At 45.7% G+C, this 18,190-nt stretch overlaps 1 long non-coding RNA gene and 1 pseudogene across 1 annotated transcript in view; both read left to right on the top strand.

The window, feature by feature from the left end:
• CZ1P-ASNS (CZ1P-ASNS readthrough) overlaps positions 1-18,190 on the top strand; it is a 120,242-nt gene that overhangs the window by 19,604 nt on the left and 82,448 nt on the right. The window contains exon 2 of the long non-coding RNA NR_147989.1: positions 15,595-15,675. This is a non-coding gene — a long non-coding RNA (CZ1P-ASNS readthrough). The remainder of the gene's footprint in view (positions 1-15,594; positions 15,676-18,190) is intronic.
• Positions 4,766-5,772, top strand: OR7E7P (olfactory receptor family 7 subfamily E member 7 pseudogene; annotated as a pseudogene).

The raw sequence follows: 18,190 nt of genomic DNA, 5'->3' as shown, positions 1-18,190 counted from the left end.
TGGCAGCAACTGCCCTGCTAGTACAAGAAGCAAAGAAGCTGACTCTTGGGCAGAACCTGAACATAAAGGCCCCCCATGCTGTGGTGACTTTAATGAATACTAAAGGACATCATTGGCTAACGAATGCCAGACTCACCAAGTACCAAAGTTTGCTCTGTGAAAATCCCCATATAACCATTGAAGTTTGTAACACCCTACACCCCGCCACCTTGCTCCCGCTATCAGAGAGCCCTGTCGAGCATGATTGTGTAAAATTGTTGGACTCAGTTGACTCTAGCAGACCTGACATCCGGGACCAGCCTTGGGCATCAGTAGACTGGGAACTATACGTGCATGGGAGCAGCTTCTTCAACCCCCAAGGAGAGAGAGTTGCAGGGTATGCAGTGATAACCCTGGACACTGTTGTTGAAGCCAGATCGTTGCCCCAGGCCACTTCAGCCCAGAAAGCTGAACTCATTGCTTTCATTCGGGCCTTAGAACTCAGTGAGGGTGAGACTGTCAACACTTACACTGATTCTTGGTATGCCTTTTTAACCCTTCAAGTGCATGGAGCATGCTAGAAAGAAAAGGGCCTATTGAACTCTGGGGGAAAAGGCAGAAAATATCAACCAGAGATCTTCCATTTATTAGAAGCAGTATGGAAACCCCACAAGGTGGCAGTTATGCATTGCAGGGGACACCAGCGAGCTTCCACCTTGGTGGGCTTGGGGAATTCCCGCACTGACTCAGAGGCTCGAAAAGCAGCATCTGCCCCTTTCCAGGCATCAGTCACAGCTCCTCTGCTCCCTCAAGCACCTGATCTTAGACCTGCTTATTCTAAAGAAGAAAAGGACTTTCTCCAGGTAGAGGGACAAGTGATGGAAGAAGGATGGATTCGGTTACCAGATGGGAGAGTAGCTGTGCCACAGCTGCGAGGAGCTGCAGTTGTACTGGCTGTGCAAGAAACCACCCATCGAGGTCAGGAGTCACTGCAAAAAGTTGTTAGGCCGGTATTTCTACATCTCGCCTTTCTCAGCCCTTGCCAAAACAGTGAGGCAGTGATGTGCCAGCTGCCGACAGCATGATACGAGGCAAGGTCTAGCCATTCCACCCGGCATACAAGCTTATGGAGCGGCCCCCTTTGAAGATCTCCAGGTAGACTTCACAGAGATGCCAAAGTGTGGAGGTAACAAGTATTTACTAGTTCTTGGGTGTACCTACTCTGGGTGGGTGGAGGCTTATCTAACACAAACTGAGAAAGCTCGTGAAGTAACCCGTGTGCTTCTTCGAGATCTGATTCGTAGATTGGGACTGCCCTTCTGGATCGGCTCAGATAACGGGCCTGCGTTTGTGGCTGACTTGCTACAGAAGACGGCAAAAGTATTGGGGATCACACGGAAACTGCATGCCGCCTCCCGGCCTCAGAGTTCCGGAAAGGTGGAGCGGATGAATCGGACTATCAAAAATAATATTATTGTCTTCCCCGCTGGATATGTAAAACAACACCACGAGGGGCATCAAACCACCTGCTACATTGGAGGGAATCTTATCCTCTCCCCACCTCCTCCGGTCCCGGATATTAGAGGCAATAACACAGGGGTAATGTACACCCACTGCTTTATTGGGAGTAATGTCATCCTCTGCCTTCTTGGATATTAGGAACAATATCACAGTGTGCGTGTATGCCTGTCGCGAAATTCAATGGAATGTCATCCTGTGCCTCCCTGGATATGACGAACAATATCACGGGGGATGTACAACTTCTGAGATATTGGGAGTGATCTCATCCTCTCCCCTCTGGAAGTTAGGGACAATATCACAGGGGTAGTGTACACCTTCTGTGACGTTGGGACTAATATCATCCTCCCGCCTCCTGGATATTAAAAACCATGTCACAAGGGGCGTGTACACACACTTCGATATTGGTATGAATGCCATCCTCTCCCTCTTTGGATATTCGGTGCCATGTTTCAGGTGGGGTTTACACCACCCGCAATATTGGAAGTCATGTTACTTTCTCCCCCCCCCGGATATTAGAAAGAGTATCACAGGGGGGTGTGAACAACCCTTGCGATATTTGGAGTCATATCTTCACCTCCCCTCAAGAATATTAAGAACAATATCTTAGGGGTGGGGGTTGTACACCCCCTTTCATATTCGATATCATCCTCTTCCCCCCTGGATATTAGGAACAATATCAGGAAGGGACGTACAGACCCTGCGACATTTGCTGTCATGTAATTGTCTCTCCCCTAGATATTAGGAAAAATGTCACTGGGGATGTGAACACCTCTGCGATATTGAGAGTAGTATCATCCTCTCCCCCCTTGCATATTGGGAACAATATCACAGGTGGGGCGTACTGCCTCTGTGATATTGGGAGTACAGTTATCCTCTCTTCCCCTGGATACTAGGAAGGGTATCAGAGGGGGAGGGTGTACATTCCCTGCGATATTCAATGTCACCTTATCCTCTCCCTCCCAGGGTATTCAGAACAATAGGACAGGGGGGTGTACACCCTCTGCGAAATTGGGAGTCATATCATCCTCTTTCGCTCTGGATATTAGGAACAATATCACAGGGTTGTGTACCCCCCCTGCGATATTGGGAGTCATATCATCCTCTCTCCCTGTGGATATTAGGAAGAGTATCACAGGGCTGTGTAAACCCCCTGCAGTACTGGGAGTAATATCATCCTCTCGCCCTCTGGATATGAGGAAAATTTTCACAGGGGTGTGAACACTCCCTGCGATATTGGGAGTAAGATCATCCTCTCCACCCAGGAAATGACTAACAAGGTCACGGGGGGGTGTACTTCCCCTGCGATATTGGGAGTAATGTCGTCCTCCCCAAACCTGGATGTTAGCAATGAGATCACAGAGGGGGTGTACACACCCTGCGACATTGGAAGTAATATGATCCTCTCCCCAACTGGATACTGGGAAAGATACCACAGCGCGGGTATACGTTTCCTACGCTGTTGGGAGTAATATCATTCTCTTCCTTTCTGGATATTAGGGAGAATATCACAGGGGTGCTGTACAATTACTTCGACATTGGGAGAAACATCATCCTCTATTTTCCTGGATATTGGGCACAAAAACACAAAAGGGTGTACAACCCCTGCGATGTTGGGAGTAATAGCATACTCTCCTTCCCTGGATGTTAGAAAACAACATCATAAAGGCTGAACACCCCCCGCGATAATGGGAGTCATGTTTACTCTTTCACAGGCCATTTGGAACAATATCATCAGGGGTGTTTACAAACAGGGGTGGTGTACACCCCCTGTGATATTGGGAGTAACATCATTCTCTCCACCTCCGGATATTAAGAACAATATCCCGGCGGGAGGTGGTACACCCCCAGTGATATTGCGAATAATGTCATCCTCTCCTTCCCTGGATATTAGGAACATATCACAGGGGGGTGTACACCTTCTGTGATATTGGAAGCAATATCATCCTCTCCCCCGCTGGATATTAGAAAAAAATATCACTCACGGTGTACACCCACTGTGATATGAGGAGTAATATCTTCCTAGGGTATTATGAATAATTTCACTGTCTGTACACACATGGTGTACACTCACTGTCATATTAGGAGTAATATCTACCTAGTAGATAACAAATAACATCGCAGTGTGTACACCCACTTTGATATTAGCTGTAATATTTTTCTAAGTTGTTACAAATAAGATCATAGAGTGTACAAACATGGTGTACACTCACTGTGATATCAGGAGTCATATCTCTGTAATATATTATGAATAATATCACAGGGTGTACACCCACTGTATTATTAGGAGTAATATCTCTGTAGGATATTACAATTAAGATCACAGGGTGTAGAGCCACCGTGATATTAGGAGCAATATCTTTCTAGGATATTACAAATAATATCACAGGGTGTACGTCCACTCTGCTGTCAGGAGCAATATCTCCCTAGGATATCAAAGATCCTATCACAGGGTGTCCAATCTCTGCCTTCCAGGCTCTAAGGGATTCTCCTGCTTCAGCCTCCCGAGTAGCTAGGGTTACCCGCCACCATGCCCGGCTAATGTTTTTTTATTTTCACTGGAGACGGGGTTTCACCACGTTGGCCAGGCTGGTCTGGAACTCCTAACCTCAGGTGATCCATCAGCCTCGGCCGCCCAAAGTTCTGGGACTACAGGTGTGAGCCATGGTGCTGGGCCAAGAGTTATATATTCAATTCATTTGGAAACACAGCTCCCATCTTTGAGTGTGCATGTACTTTTATGAAGAAATGATGTCAGAAAACTGAAGGATGATAATAAATACGAAAAGTAACAGGCATGTGAAAAGGTCTTCCGATTGAGAACTATAAGGTTTGATTTCGTTTTCAGATAATGGGTTCCTAGCTCTTGTGTCGTCCTTTTACATATTCTACATCAATGGAAGTTGTAGCACGGTGTCAGAATAAAGTAGAGTGTATTTCACGGCTTCTTAATTTCTTTCAATTAGACTGAGATCTTTTTCTTAAAGCGAGAAGGACATTGTCATTGCATTGTATTTTTTCTGAAAAGAGTAGGCCGTATTTTACTGAGATCACGGATTTGTTATATATGATGTTTTGGTCTTCTAATATTCTTCAGTGGATTTTCTCTAAAGTAGTATGTACAGAAAGCCTTGTATAGCAAAAGAGTAAATCACGTAATAATTCTGAGATTTTTTGGAATTGTCATAACTGAGAAACATTGCTGGCGGTGTATGGTCCGCAAGTGTGAAAATGTTCCTTGTGAATTGCTTGCATCCAGCATTAAGGACTGGTTTTTATCTTTTATTTTTCCAATCCTCTTTCCTTCTCAAGGTGTCCAAGACACACAGAGCCACAGAATCTCACAGATGTCTGAGAATTCCTCCTCCTGGGACTCTCAGAGGATCCAGAACTGCAGCCGGTCCTCGCTTTGCTCTCCCTGTCCCTGTCCATGTATCTGGTCATGGTGCTGAGGAACCTGCTCAGCATCCTGGCTGTCAGCTCTGTCTCTCCCCTCCACACCCCCACCTGTGCTGGGCTGACATCGGTTTCACCTTGGCCACGGTTCCCAAGATGATTGTGGACATGCAGTCGCATAGCAGAGTCATCTCTCATGCGGGCTGTCTGACGCAGATGTCTTTCTTCATCCTTTTTGCATGTATAGAAGGCATGCTCCTGACTGTGATGGCCTATGACTGCTTTGTAGCCATCTGTCGCCCTCTGCACTACCCAGTCATCGTGAATCCTCACCTCTGTGTCTTCTTCGTTTTGGTGTCCTTTTTCCTTAGCCTGTTGGATTCCCAGCTGCACAGTTGAATTGTGTTACAATTCACCATCATCAAGAATGTGGAAATCTCTCATTTTTTCTGTGACCCCTCTCAACTTCTCAAACTTGCCTGTTCTGACAGCGTCATCAATAGCATATTCATATATTTCGATAGTACTATGTTTGGTTTTCTTCCCATTTCAGGGATCCTATGGTCTTACTATAAAATCATCCCCTCCATTCTAAGGATTTCATCATCATATGGGAAGTATAAAGCCTTCTCCACATGTGCCTCTCACCTAGCAGTTGTTTGCTGATTTTATGTAACAGGCATTGGCATGTACCTGACTTCAGCTGTGTCACCACCCCCCAGCAATGGTGTAGTGGCGTCAGTGATGTATGCTGCGGTCACTCCCATGCTGAACCCTTTCATCTACAGCCTGAGAAACAGGGACATACAAAGTGCCCTGCGGAGGGTGCTCAGCAGAACAGTCGAATTTCATGATCTGTTCCATCCTTTTTCTTGTGTGGGTGAGAAAGGGCAACCACATTAAATCTCTACATCTGCAAATCCTGCCCCTTAGTCACATTATTTTTGTGGCTTGATGGCTTTTATTCCTTTCCGCATTTCCTTTGTGAATATTGCTTTCTTCGTTATGCCTTTAACTGGAATGGGTGAGGATTCTGGGATCCTTTGTTTAGCAGAAACCTCATGACTGAATCCTCTATACCTAGGCAGCCTCTTTTAGTTTCTGAGTAATAACCCTGTCATCCAGGTGGAATCACAACCATCTTTTTATATACACGAAGTCCTCACTTCGTTTTGGAATTCCCTGAAAACTGACTTTATGGAAACAATGTACAGGAGGTCCTCCAACACCATTGGTTGTTCAAAGTTGTGTAGTTATACTGTTGATAAAAAATAAGTGGTTTCACTATACATCATTTTGCTTCGAGGTGAAGTTTCCAAGAGACTTTCAAAGATGTTAAGTGAGGACATACTGTACATCAAATTCATATCCTCTTCCACAGTTCATCTGGAATTTCTTTATAAACTGCTTCTAGAGAATCTATTTAGGCAGGTTATGTGTAGAGATCCATGTCGCCCTTCCTCAATCTTGGTTTTGAGTCAACTCACCTGGGGAGCTTACAAATGATGAGGCCCTGGGTCTCAATACCTGAGATTCTGATTTCCTTGCACCTGTGTGAGCATGTGGATTTTTTTTTTTTCTTTTAAAGCACCAGAGGTGGTTCCAATGATGAAGTTTTTGGAGGCATCAAGCTCCAATGTGTAAGAACAGAAATTAATTGTAATATGATTTCTTCAAATATTATCTTCAAATGCATTGTCCATCAACACCATACAAATGTTTATTATGCTGTTTTTTCTTACCATTTCGCATTTTCTATTTCTTTCTTTTCCTTATTTTTTGAGTCAGAGTTTCACTCTTGTTGCCCAGGCTGGAGTTCAATGGCACAGTCTTGGCTCACTGCAACCTCTGCCTCCCGTATTCAAGCAATTCTCCTGTCTCAGCCTTCCAAGTAGCTGGGATTACAGGCATGCGCTAACATGCCTGGCTAATTTTTTTTTTTTTGTATTGTTAATAGGGACAGTGTTTCTCCATTTTGGTCAGGCTGGTCTTGAACTCCCGACCTCAGGTGATCCGCCCGCTTCTGCCTCCCAAAATGCTGGGATTACAGGCATGAGCGACCGCGCCCAGCCAGCACTCAGCATTTATATTTTACATTTGTTGAAGTTGTAGATTTATACACACATTGATTGCTGCTTTGTTATACACTTGCATATACATAAGATGGGAAATAGAAAAGAATAAAATGGACACAGTATCCCTGAGGTTTCACATTCTGAGACATTTTAAAAATATTTTCTCTTCAGAAATTTGTTTCAATGAAGAAACTGTGGTATACACACCCAATGAAGTATTATTCAGCCTAAAAAGGAAGAAACTCCTCTCCGCTGCAGACAAAATGGATGAGATTGCAGGTCTGTATATTAAAGGAAAGAAGCCAGGCACAGAATGACAAATATTTCATGTCCTCACTTCTATGTAGGAAGAAAAAAGACACCTTGGCCAGGTGTGGTGGCTCAGGCCTGGAATCCCAGCACTCTTGGAGGCCGAGTCGCACGGATCACTTGAGTCCAGGAGTTCGAGACCCGCCTGGCCAACATGGTGAAACCCCGTCTCTACGGAAAACACAAACAATGAGCCGGGCATGGTGACGCATGCCTGTAGTCTCAGCTACTCAGAGGGCTGAGGCCCAAGAAGTGCTTGAACTCGGGAGACAGAGCTTGCAGTGAGCCCGGATTTTGCCTGTGTACTCCAACCTGGGCAACAGAAAGAGACTCCATCACCCACCTACACACAATAGGAATCTCAGGAAGGTGGAAAGTATAAAGGTGATCAGCAGACACTAGGAAGAAAAGGGGTGGGATAGGGAATGAAGACAAGTGGATAATTGTGTCCCAAAATACAGAAAGATGGAACAAGTGAGTTCTAGTGTTTGATAGTACAGTATGAAAATTTTAGTTCACAAGAATTGCTTGCATATTTCCAGATGCTTTGGTAAGAAGCTTCCTAACTTTCTCATTATGCTGGTTTTTAAGCTCTTCTCTTTCCACTCTTGAAATCATGCTGGTTTTTTGTTTTTTGTTTTGAGATGGAGTTTCACTCTTATTGCCCAGGCTGGAGTGTCATGGTGCAATCTTGGCTCACCGTAACCTCTGCCTCCTGGGTTCAAGCGATTCTCCTGCCTCCACCTCCCTAGTAGCTGGGATTACAGGCATGCGCCAGCACGCCCAGCTAATGTTGTATTTCTAGTAGAGACGGGGGTTTCTCCCTGTCGGTCAGGCTGGTCTTCAACTCCTGACCTCAGGTGATCCACCCGCCTCGGCCTCCCAAAGTGCTGGGATTACAGGCGTGAGCGACCGCGCCCGGACCATGCTGTATCCTTATCTGTTGTCTGTTGTTGTTTGTTTGTTTTGGAGCCCAGAAATAACTTCTCACCTATATGTTCAAATGATTTTTCACATGAGTGCTAAGAAAGCTCATTGGTGGAAAAGCAGCCTTTTCAAGAAATGGTGTTGGAGAAACTTGATTTCCACATGCAGAAGAATGAAGGTGGACCCTATGTCACACCAGGTGCAAAAATTAACACAAACTGGATCAAAGGCCTCACCCCAAGGGCTAAAAGTATCATACGCCTAAAAGAAAACATTGGCCACGCTTTCATGACATCAGATTGGGCAATGTTCTCTGGGATATGACACCAAAAGCATAGGCAACAAAAGAAAATTAGATTCCTTGGATTACATCTAAATGACAGACACTTTTGTGCAGCAAAAAACACTGTGAACTGAGTGAAAAGATAACCCATGGATTAGGAACAATATTTGCAAAGCATATATCTGAAAAGAGGCTGATATCCATCATATATAAAGAACAGCTACAACTAAACAACAAGAAACCCAAAGCATCCCATCAACAATGGTCAGAAGACTTGAGTAGACGTGTTCCTAAAGAAGATATAGCAATGGCCAATAAGCATCTAAAATGATGTTCAAAGTCACTCATCATAGGGAAGCACAAATCAAACCAAGAATGTCATACCACACATTAGGATGGATATGATAAACAAAAAAGCATTGGTGAGACTAGAGGGAAGTAGGAATGCTCGAATATGATTGGAGGGAATGTAAAACCATGAAGGAACGGGGAAAATAGTATGGCATCTACTGGAAAATTTAGAAACAGAATGATCAGATGTTCCCGCAGTTTCATTTGTGGGTACCTACCAAAAAGAATTAGAAGCCAGGAGTGGAAGACAGATTTGTGTACACCCATATTCATAGCAGCATTAGTCACAACAGCCAAAATGTGGAAGCAACCCAAGGGTTCATGGACAGATGAATGAAAAAGCACACTGCAGTTCCTTTATACAATGGAAGACTATTCAGCCTTAAAAAGGCAGGCACTTCTGGCCAGTGCGGTGGCTCACGCCTGTAATTGCGGCGTCTTGGAAGACCGAGGTGGGCGGATCACCTGAGGTCAGGAATTCAAGACCAGCCTGGCCATCTTGGTGAAACCCTGTCTCTACTGAAAATGCAAAAAATGAGACGAGCGTGGTGGGGTGTGCCTATAGTCCCAACTACTCGGGAGGCTGAGGCACAAGAATGGCTGGAACCCGGGAGGCGGAGGTTGCAGTGAGCCCAGATTGTGCCACTGCACTCCAGCCTGTGCGACAGAGTGAGGCTCCATGGAAACACAAAACAAAACAAAGTCAAACGAACAAACAAACAAAAGACAAACAAAAAAAAAAAGAGAGGCACTTCTGACGCAGGCCGCAACATGGATGAACCTTGCAAACATTATCGTCAGTGAAATAAATGAATCCCAAAAGGATAAACACGCCCAGGCTCAGTGGCTCACACCTGTAACCCCAGCACTTTGGGAGGCTGAGCCAGGCGGATCACTTCAGGTCAGGAGACCAGCCTGGCCAATATGGTCTCTATTAAAAATACAAAAATTAGCTGGGCGTGGTGGCGCACGCCTGTAATCCCAGCTACTCCGGAGACTGAGACAGAAGAATCGCTTGAACCCACGATGTGGCGGTTGCAGTGGGCCGAGATCATGCCACTGCACTCCAGCCTGGGTGACAGAGAAAGACTCTGTCTCCAAAACAAGAAAATTAAACACGGTATGATTCCACTTATCTATCAAGTGTCTAGAGTAGTTAAACTCATAGAGTTGCAAACTAGAAAGGTGGCCCCCAGGGGTGGGCAAGAGAGAGGAGTGGAGAGCTTGGTGAATGGGTGCCATTTCCATTTTGAAAGATAAAACTGTTCCGGAGACGATGACGGTGATGGTTGCTAAACAATGTGAACGTACTTAATGTCATGAAACTGTAAACTGAAAAACAGTGGAAATTGTAAATGTTTATACTGGCCATTCTATATGAACTAATATATATTTATAATTTTTAATATTTATACATGGTATATTTTCCCACAATAAAGATGAAAATTAAAGCAGTTGGATGTTTAAAAAGAAAAGAAAGAAGTTAAGAATACACACCAGCTTTCTCCTGATTAGAGGAAGAGCCCCAAAGCTTCTATGGACACTCACTTTTCTCTTCTTCTTCTTGCATTATTATGAGGAAATCCTTAGTGGTTGGGGAACTTGGGCGACTTTGGCTAATGAGGAGGTCTGTGCCTTGAGCTCCCAGGCCACAGAATAGTAAATAGTCTGTGCCTCCAGCCCTGCAGTGTGAGGTTGCAGTCCTGTGGGCTCCACAGACATCACCTGTATCAGGAGGCTCATGTCTTACCCTGTCTTCTTGCCAGCCTCAAGGACGGAGTCTGAGCCTCCATGGTGCACCACACAGGGAGGACAGTGGACCTGTTCTCCGTGGTCATGGCCCAGCAGAGGGGAAGGGCAGTTCAGTGAGTGTAGGCAAAAGAAAGAGCGATCAGACTCTTACTGTGTCTATGTAGAAAGGAAAGACATAAGAGACTCCATTTTGAAAAAGGCCTGTACTTTCAACAATTTCTTTGCTGAGATGTTGTTAATCTGTAGCTTTGCCCCAGTCACTTTGAACAAACCACTTTGACCCAACCTGAAGCTCACAAAAGCATGTGTTGTATGAAATCAAGGTTTAAGGGATCTAGGGCTGTGCAGGACGTGCCTTGTTAACAAGTTGTTTCCAAGCAGTATACTTGGTAAAAGTCATCGCCATTCTCTATTCTCAATAAACCAGGGGCACAATACACTGTGGAAAGCCTCAGGGAGCTCTGCCCTTGAAAGCGCCGTATTGTCCAAGGTTTCTCCCCATGTGATAGTCTGAAAAGTGGCCTCGTGGGAGGAGAAAGACCTGACCATCCCTGAGCCCGACACCAGTAAAGGGTCTGTGCTGAGGTGGATTACTCAAAGAGGAAATCCTCTTGCAGTTGAGAGAGAGGAAGGCCGCTGTCTCCTGCCTGCCCCTGGGAACTGAATGTCTCGGTATAAAACCCGATTGTACATTTGTTCAATTCTGAGATGGGAGAAAAACCGCCCTATGGTAGGAGGTGAGACATGTTGGCAGCAATGCTGCCTTGTTATTCTTTACTCCACTGAGATGTCTGGCTGGAGAGAAACATAAATCTTGCTTAGAGACACGTCCAGTCATAGTACCTTCCCTTGAACTTCCTTATGACTTAGACTGTATTGCTCACATGTTCGTTGCTGACCTTCTCCTTATTATCACCCTGCCCTCCTACTACATTCCTTTTTGCTAAAATAATAAAAATAATAATCAATAAAAACTGAGGGAACCCAGAGGCCTGTGCTGGTTCAGATCCTTGGTATGCTGAGCGCCGGTCCCCTAGGCCCACTGTTGTTTCTCCATACTTTGTCTCTGTGTCTTATTTCTTTCCTCAGTCTCTCGTCCCACCCGACTAGAAATACCCACAGGTGTGGAGGGGCAGGCCACCCCTTCAAGTGAGTGCTGAGGGACGGTTGGGAGCCTTGTTTGTTTCCTCCTCCTCAGGACAAACAGGAGAATGCGCTGGGCAGATGTGAGGAGACCAATATGCAAACTCTGTCCTCAGCAGACTGTGGAGTTTCTGTTCTTGGTTGTGCTGGGGGTCTCAGAAATCTTATTCAAAATTTTTCTTTCCTCCCCCACTGGTTGTCCTTTTCACAGACATCTCACCCATGATAGCAGGGAATCAGTCCCTCTAAACTATTCCCTAAGAACAACAAAGAGATTATGAAGGTGATGATGAGGATAAAGAGGATGATGACAGACACCATGGCATCATGAACCCTTACTGAGGGCTTCCTAAAGGCCAGGCTCTGAGCTCTGCGCTCTATGCAGCTGGTTTCATTTCATCTGCATAGTCTCCACGTTATTAGTGCACATTTCATGATGATTTTACAGACTAGAAAAGGCGCAACGGATTTTCATGTAGCTTGTACCAGATCACGAAGTCAAAAAGGGTGAAGTCCAATTTGAACCAGGCAGTCTAAGTCCAGACACATGGCATTTGGCCAGTCCTCTCCCTGCATCCAACCTGCCCTCTCAAATCCTCATCACTCAGGCCGATGGCCCTGCTCACTGTGCCCTTCCCTTTCGGGGTTCCTTGTAGACCACATCTAGACCAGTGGGTGCCACAATCACTGTGTCATGTATAGAAAGGGCAGTTGAGATCACATCAAGGATTCCAGAAAGAATTGGCACAGGATCATTCGGGACGCATCCCTCCCTTGCCCCTGTTCCTGGCTTTCCTTACAGCTCTCGACTTCCTCAAAGGAGTCATCAATTCGGAGTTTGGCTTCCATTCCTATTGAGGAAGCTGGAAAGCGTTTCAAAAATGCTCCTCTGATGTGCCTGTGGTTAAGACCTCTGAGCTCTGCTTAAAACTTTTGGAAGCTGGGCGTGGTGGCTCACGAGTGTAATCCCAGTCCTTTGGGAGGCTGAGGCAGGCGAATCACAAGGTCAGGAGTTCGAGACCAGCCTGGCCAACATGGTGAAACCCTGTCTCTACTAAAAATACAAAAAAAAAAAAATAAAAAATTAGCCAGGCAAGGTGGCATATGCCTGTAATCCCAGCTACTGGGGAGGCTGAGGCAGGAGACTCCTTTGAAGCCGGGAGACAGAGGTTGCAGTGAACCGAGATCACGCCACTGCACTCCAGCCTGGGCAACAGAGCAAGACTCTGTCTTAAAAAAATAAATAAAGAAAAATTACGAAAAAATGTGCTTGGATGGGCTTGGCAAACTTTAGCCATTAGCTCACGTACCACTTCGGAAGGGCATACCTTCAGTCACTTCACCCTTTAATCCCTTTGCTCAAGACTAAAGTTCTGAGAGGAAGTCTAATCGGCTGAGTTGTGTCCATGTGGGCAGTGCAGGAAAGGGTGCAGCGGGAGGCGGCTCCAGGGACGTCTTTGGCTTCCATCATGGGAGAGCAGGCGCCTGGATTATCCACCCTAACAAATCTGGACAAAGGAAAACGAGGTTCTCTGAGGAAGGAGACATAGAGCCCAAGGAGCTAACCAAGAGACAAGTAGTCATCCTGTCTTGTCATTTTCTTTTACACATGTGTGTACATTATCTTACACTTATCACTTTGTTTTCTTTCTCTCCTTTAATTGCACCCGGTTGCCAAAAGTGAAAATAAAATGACAGTATTAATTAGCCAGGCGTGGTAGCGGGCGCCTGTAGTCCCAGCTACTCGGGAGGCTGAGGCAGGAGAATGGCGTGAACCCGGGAGGCGGAGCTTGCAGTGAGCCGAGATCGCGCCACTGCACTCCAGCCTGGGCGACAGAGCGAGACTCCGTCTCAAAAAAAAAAAAAAAAAAAAATTGAAAGTATTGAGATAGCTCAGTAACTGACTTTTGGTCAATTGCCTTTTCATATAGTGAACAGCTGCCCAAACGATTGTCTCTGTCACTGTGCAAATTTGCAAGCGTTTGCATGATCACTCCCAATCCCCCAACACAGGGCTGTGTTTAGTTCACAACACAGGGCACAATTTAGTTCAGTGTTTTGCTCTCTGCAACAGGGAGTTTCTGATCCATTACAGGTTGCAGTAAAAACAGGGGTACCATAAGCAACCACCTCTTTCCTCAACGATGTGATGAAAGCAAAAGCCAAGTAGCTCCATATATCCAACTTAAAAATATAAAAAGTTACGCCCGTGGGCTGCAGTTGGAGCTATGGCGGCGGCAGCTGTCACTGGGCCTAGCCCGGGGTGTGGACCTGGGGACTCCCCAAAAGGGCCCGATGTGGAGGCTCACGGAGCGTCGGCAGAAGGCGCACAGGATGCTAAAGCTTTACAACGGCCTCTCGGAAGGGGAGGCGGTGGGACTCCCCGCGGGGCCCGACCCCCTGGACCCCACTGATCTGAACGGGGCGCATTTCGACCCGGAAGTTTACCTAGACAAGCTGCCTAGAGAGTGCTCTCTGGCCCAGCTGATGGACAGTGAGACGGACATGGTGCAGCAGATCCGGGCTCTAGACAGCGACATGCAAACCCTGGTCTATGAGAACTACGATAAGTTCATCCCAGCCACAGAAATTGACAAACAGCATAAAACTCTATGAGGAATTGCAGGAGACCCAGAATTTCCCAAATAACCTTGTAAAAGAAGAACAAAGTTGGAAGACTCACACACAAAAAAATACATACATATATATAAAGTTGTGTTTTCATTCAGTTGTAAATGTTTAGTAATTTCTATTGTGATTTTTCATTTAACTCATGAAAGGATATTTTTAATTTTCCTAATGTATGCTTGTGTTTAGCTATCTTCTTGCTGTTGACTTCTAATTTTGTTGCATTATGGTCAGGAAAATGTGGTCTGGACAATGTCAATTGTATAGTGGATTTTGTTGAGACTTCTTTATGGCCTAATATGTGGCCAGTTTTTTTTTTTTGTTTTGTTGTGTTTTTTTGTGCAAATTCGCCACATGTTGTTAAAAGGAATGTGGATTATTTGTTTTTTTTAGGAGAGTTTTTATTTTTAAATAGATAAGTTTCTCAGTGTAATTGAAATCTAGCTTCAATTAACAATATGCTAGATTGCTCAAACCTTAGGATGTTAGTCAGTGTAACAATAGACTGCTGCTGAGACGAATAAACCCTGAACTCTCAGTGGGTTGGCACCCATAGCATAGTCTGGTGCAGGGCAGGGGTTCTCCTTGGGGGCCCTTGTCCAACAGTGATTCAGAGATTCTGGAGGTTTCCATCTTTTAATTCTGCCATCTCAGAGTTTTTCACTTGTAGCCATATGGATAGGAAGAGAGGGAACATAGCTCACACTTGCCTTTGACAACCTTGGCCTGAAGGGATTTCTTACATTCCTATTGGTGGAAATGCAGTCACATGGTTCCAAACTAACTGCAAGTAAGGCTGGGAAATGTAGTCTTTCTGCATGTCCAGGAAGAGGAATGGTGTGAACACAGCATTGTCTTTGATACACTAAGCATGTGCTAAAGAGTTCTTACTCTTATAGGAGGTTTGTCTGTCCTGTGTAACTTTCTCAGTTTTTGCTTAGTTTCAGGCAATGTTGTTTGGTGCATTCAGCTTGATGATTATTATGTCCTCTTGGCAAAGTAGTCAAGATTCCCATCAGTTTACAGATAGGTCAGGAAATGTTAATACTTTAAAAGGCCCTTCTATTCCTCCACTCTACAGATAAGGACAACAGAGTCCTAGAGAGAGGAGGTCATGGGTCTCACTCATGAGTGGCAGCATTGAAACCAACATGGCAGTAACTTTGCCTTTCCCCCATCATGTTGTTCTCCCTCTATCTTCACTCTGCTGATTTCTTCACTTGCTCCATACAGACCTCCCAGTGCCAAGTGTATAAGCGTGTCCAGAATTGGTGGGTCTCACTGACTTCAAGAATGAAGCCGCGGACCCTCCTGGTGAGTGTTACACTTCTTAAAGTTGGCGTGTCTGGAGTTTTTTCCTTCTGATGTTCGGATGTGTTCGAAGCTTCTTCCTTCTGGTGGGGTTCGTGGTCTCGCTGGCTCAGGAGTGAAGCTGCAGACCTTCACGGTGAGTGTTACAGCTCTTAAGGCTGCACGTCTGGAGTTGTTCATTTCTCCTGGTGGGTTCATGGTCTCGCTGGCTTCAGGAGTGAAGCTGCAGACCTTCTCGGTGAGTGTTACAGCTCATAAAGGCAGTGTGGACCCAAACAGTGAGCAGCAACAAGATTTATTGCAAAGAGCAAAAGAACAAACTTCCACAGTGTGGAAGGGGACTCCAGCTGGTTGCCACTGCTGGCTTGGGCAGCCTGCTTTTATTCTCTTACCTGGCCCCACCCACATCCTGCTGATTGGTCCATTTTACAGAGATCCTGAATGGTGTGTTTTGACAGGGTGCTGATTGGTGCCTTTACAATCCCTGAGCTAGACACAAAGTCTCCCCACGTCCCCACTAGATTAGCTAGATACAGAGTGTCCACACAAAGGTTCTCCAAGTCCCCACCATAATGGCTAGATACAGAGTGTCGATTGCTGCATTCACAAACCCTGAGCTAGACACAGGGTGCTGATTGGTGTGTTTACAAACCTTGATCTAGATACAGAGTGTCGAGTGGTGTATTTACAATCCCTTAGCTAGACATAAAGGTTCTACAAGTCCCCATCAGACTCAGGAGCCCAGCTGGCTTCACCCAGTGGATCCCGCACAGGAGCTGCAGGTGGAGCTGCCTGCCAGTCCCTCTCCGTGTGCCCACACTCTTCATCCCTTGGGTGGTCGATGGGACTGGGTGCCGTGGAGCAGGGAGCGGTGTTCGTCGGGGAGGCTCGGGCCGCACAGGAGACCACGGAGTGGGGAGGCTAAGGAATGGCGGGCTGCAGGTCCCGAGCCCTGCCCCGCGGGGAGGCAGCTAAGGCCCGGCGAGAAGTCGAGCACAGTAGCTGCTGGCCCAGGTGCTAAGCCCCTCACTGCCCCGGCCGGCAAGGCCAGCCGGCAGCTCCTAGTGCGGGGCTGCCAAACCCACGCCCACCTGGAACTCCAGCCGGCAGGCAAGCAGCGCGCGTAGCCCCGGTTCCGGCTCACGTCTCTCTCTCCACACCTCCCTGCAAGCTGAGGGAGCCAGCTCCGACCTTGGCCAGCCCAGAAAGGGGCTCCCACCATGCAGCCGCGGGCTGAAGGGCTCCTCAAGTGCCGACAAAGTGGGAGCCCAGGCAGAGGAGGCACTGAGAGCGAGCGAGGGCTGTGAGGGCTGCCAGCATGCTGTCACCTCTCATAAGGAGTGATTAATCTGAGCTTCTCCAGAAAGTCCATTCCTGGTAGGCACTGGGAATAAGAAATCTCAGAGTATAAAAAAACATCAAGTGGTAGCACTTTTGTGAATGGCTCCCAAATTAGATCCTTTACTTTTTTTTCTTTTTCATGAAGCACAGTTGCCCAAAACACGCTCAGCCTGAGATGAAGCACATATTAGAGAAAGGTTCTTTCTATAGCATTATGTATTACTCGAATGAGCATTAAAAAGAGGAGACGGGACATGCTCTCTCTAGCTATTATTACCTGCACTATAGAGTTGACATACACAAGCTCATTATTGCATTATGTTTTATTCAACAAAATAACTTTAATGTTGAAGCTTAAATTGAATTCGCTAAAACATCTTTGTCTCCAGCATAGTGTGCCTCAAGTGTCTCCTTGGTGCCTGAATTTTCTCCAGAATTATAGTGCTGAAGCTATGGAAATGGTGAAATTATATGCAATCTGCAAAACAATGTGGCTATAACGTGGTAATTGGCCTTCCACATAATTAAAGGAACATTTCCTCATCAGAGCTGTTCCATCAGAGACCCAAAGGTTATCGTTGTACAAATCACCCACTTAGGAAAACCTTTATTCCCAGTAGCCTATACAAATCTGGTTATGCAAACAGATTTGCTTATTCAGTAACATTAATGGCTTCTCATAGTTAAAAAGTCATCAATGTGTTTGACCTATAATCTGTTTCCTCTGTGACCAAGTGTCATTTTTATTTTGACAGTTAGGAGCCTTTTGACTCTTTCACAGCTGGCATGAAGGTACAGGGAGGGAAATCTCAAAAACCAACAACCTGTGTATTCCCAGACTATTAATCATAGAAAATCACTTCAACTGGATTACGGTCTTGTACCTGGCAGAAAGGCTGTTATGAACATTGGAATTGGATTTTTACACTTGATATGACACTTCCTTGAGTCAGATCAGATTCGTGTTTGATAGACTCTTGCCAAAAAATTGCTCCAGGGTCTGTGCAGTAGCTAAAGCCTTTTTGTTGTTGTTGTTGTTTTAAAAGTAGCATTAAATGTTTTCATGAAGACCTTCCCAGTCGTGATTTTATTGGGAATATGGTCTTTAGCTCTGGTCCTGAATAACTCACACTGAGGAAACCTCTAACAAGTGTTGTATTGGAAGATGTCTGATGGA

The sequence above is a fragment of the Homo sapiens genome, chromosome 7 (assembly GCF_000001405.40).
Source record: "Homo sapiens chromosome 7, GRCh38.p14 Primary Assembly".
Taxonomy (NCBI): domain Eukaryota; kingdom Metazoa; phylum Chordata; class Mammalia; order Primates; family Hominidae; genus Homo; species Homo sapiens.
Note: the sequence above shows the minus strand (reverse complement) of the source record. Positions and strands in the feature narration are given on the sequence as shown.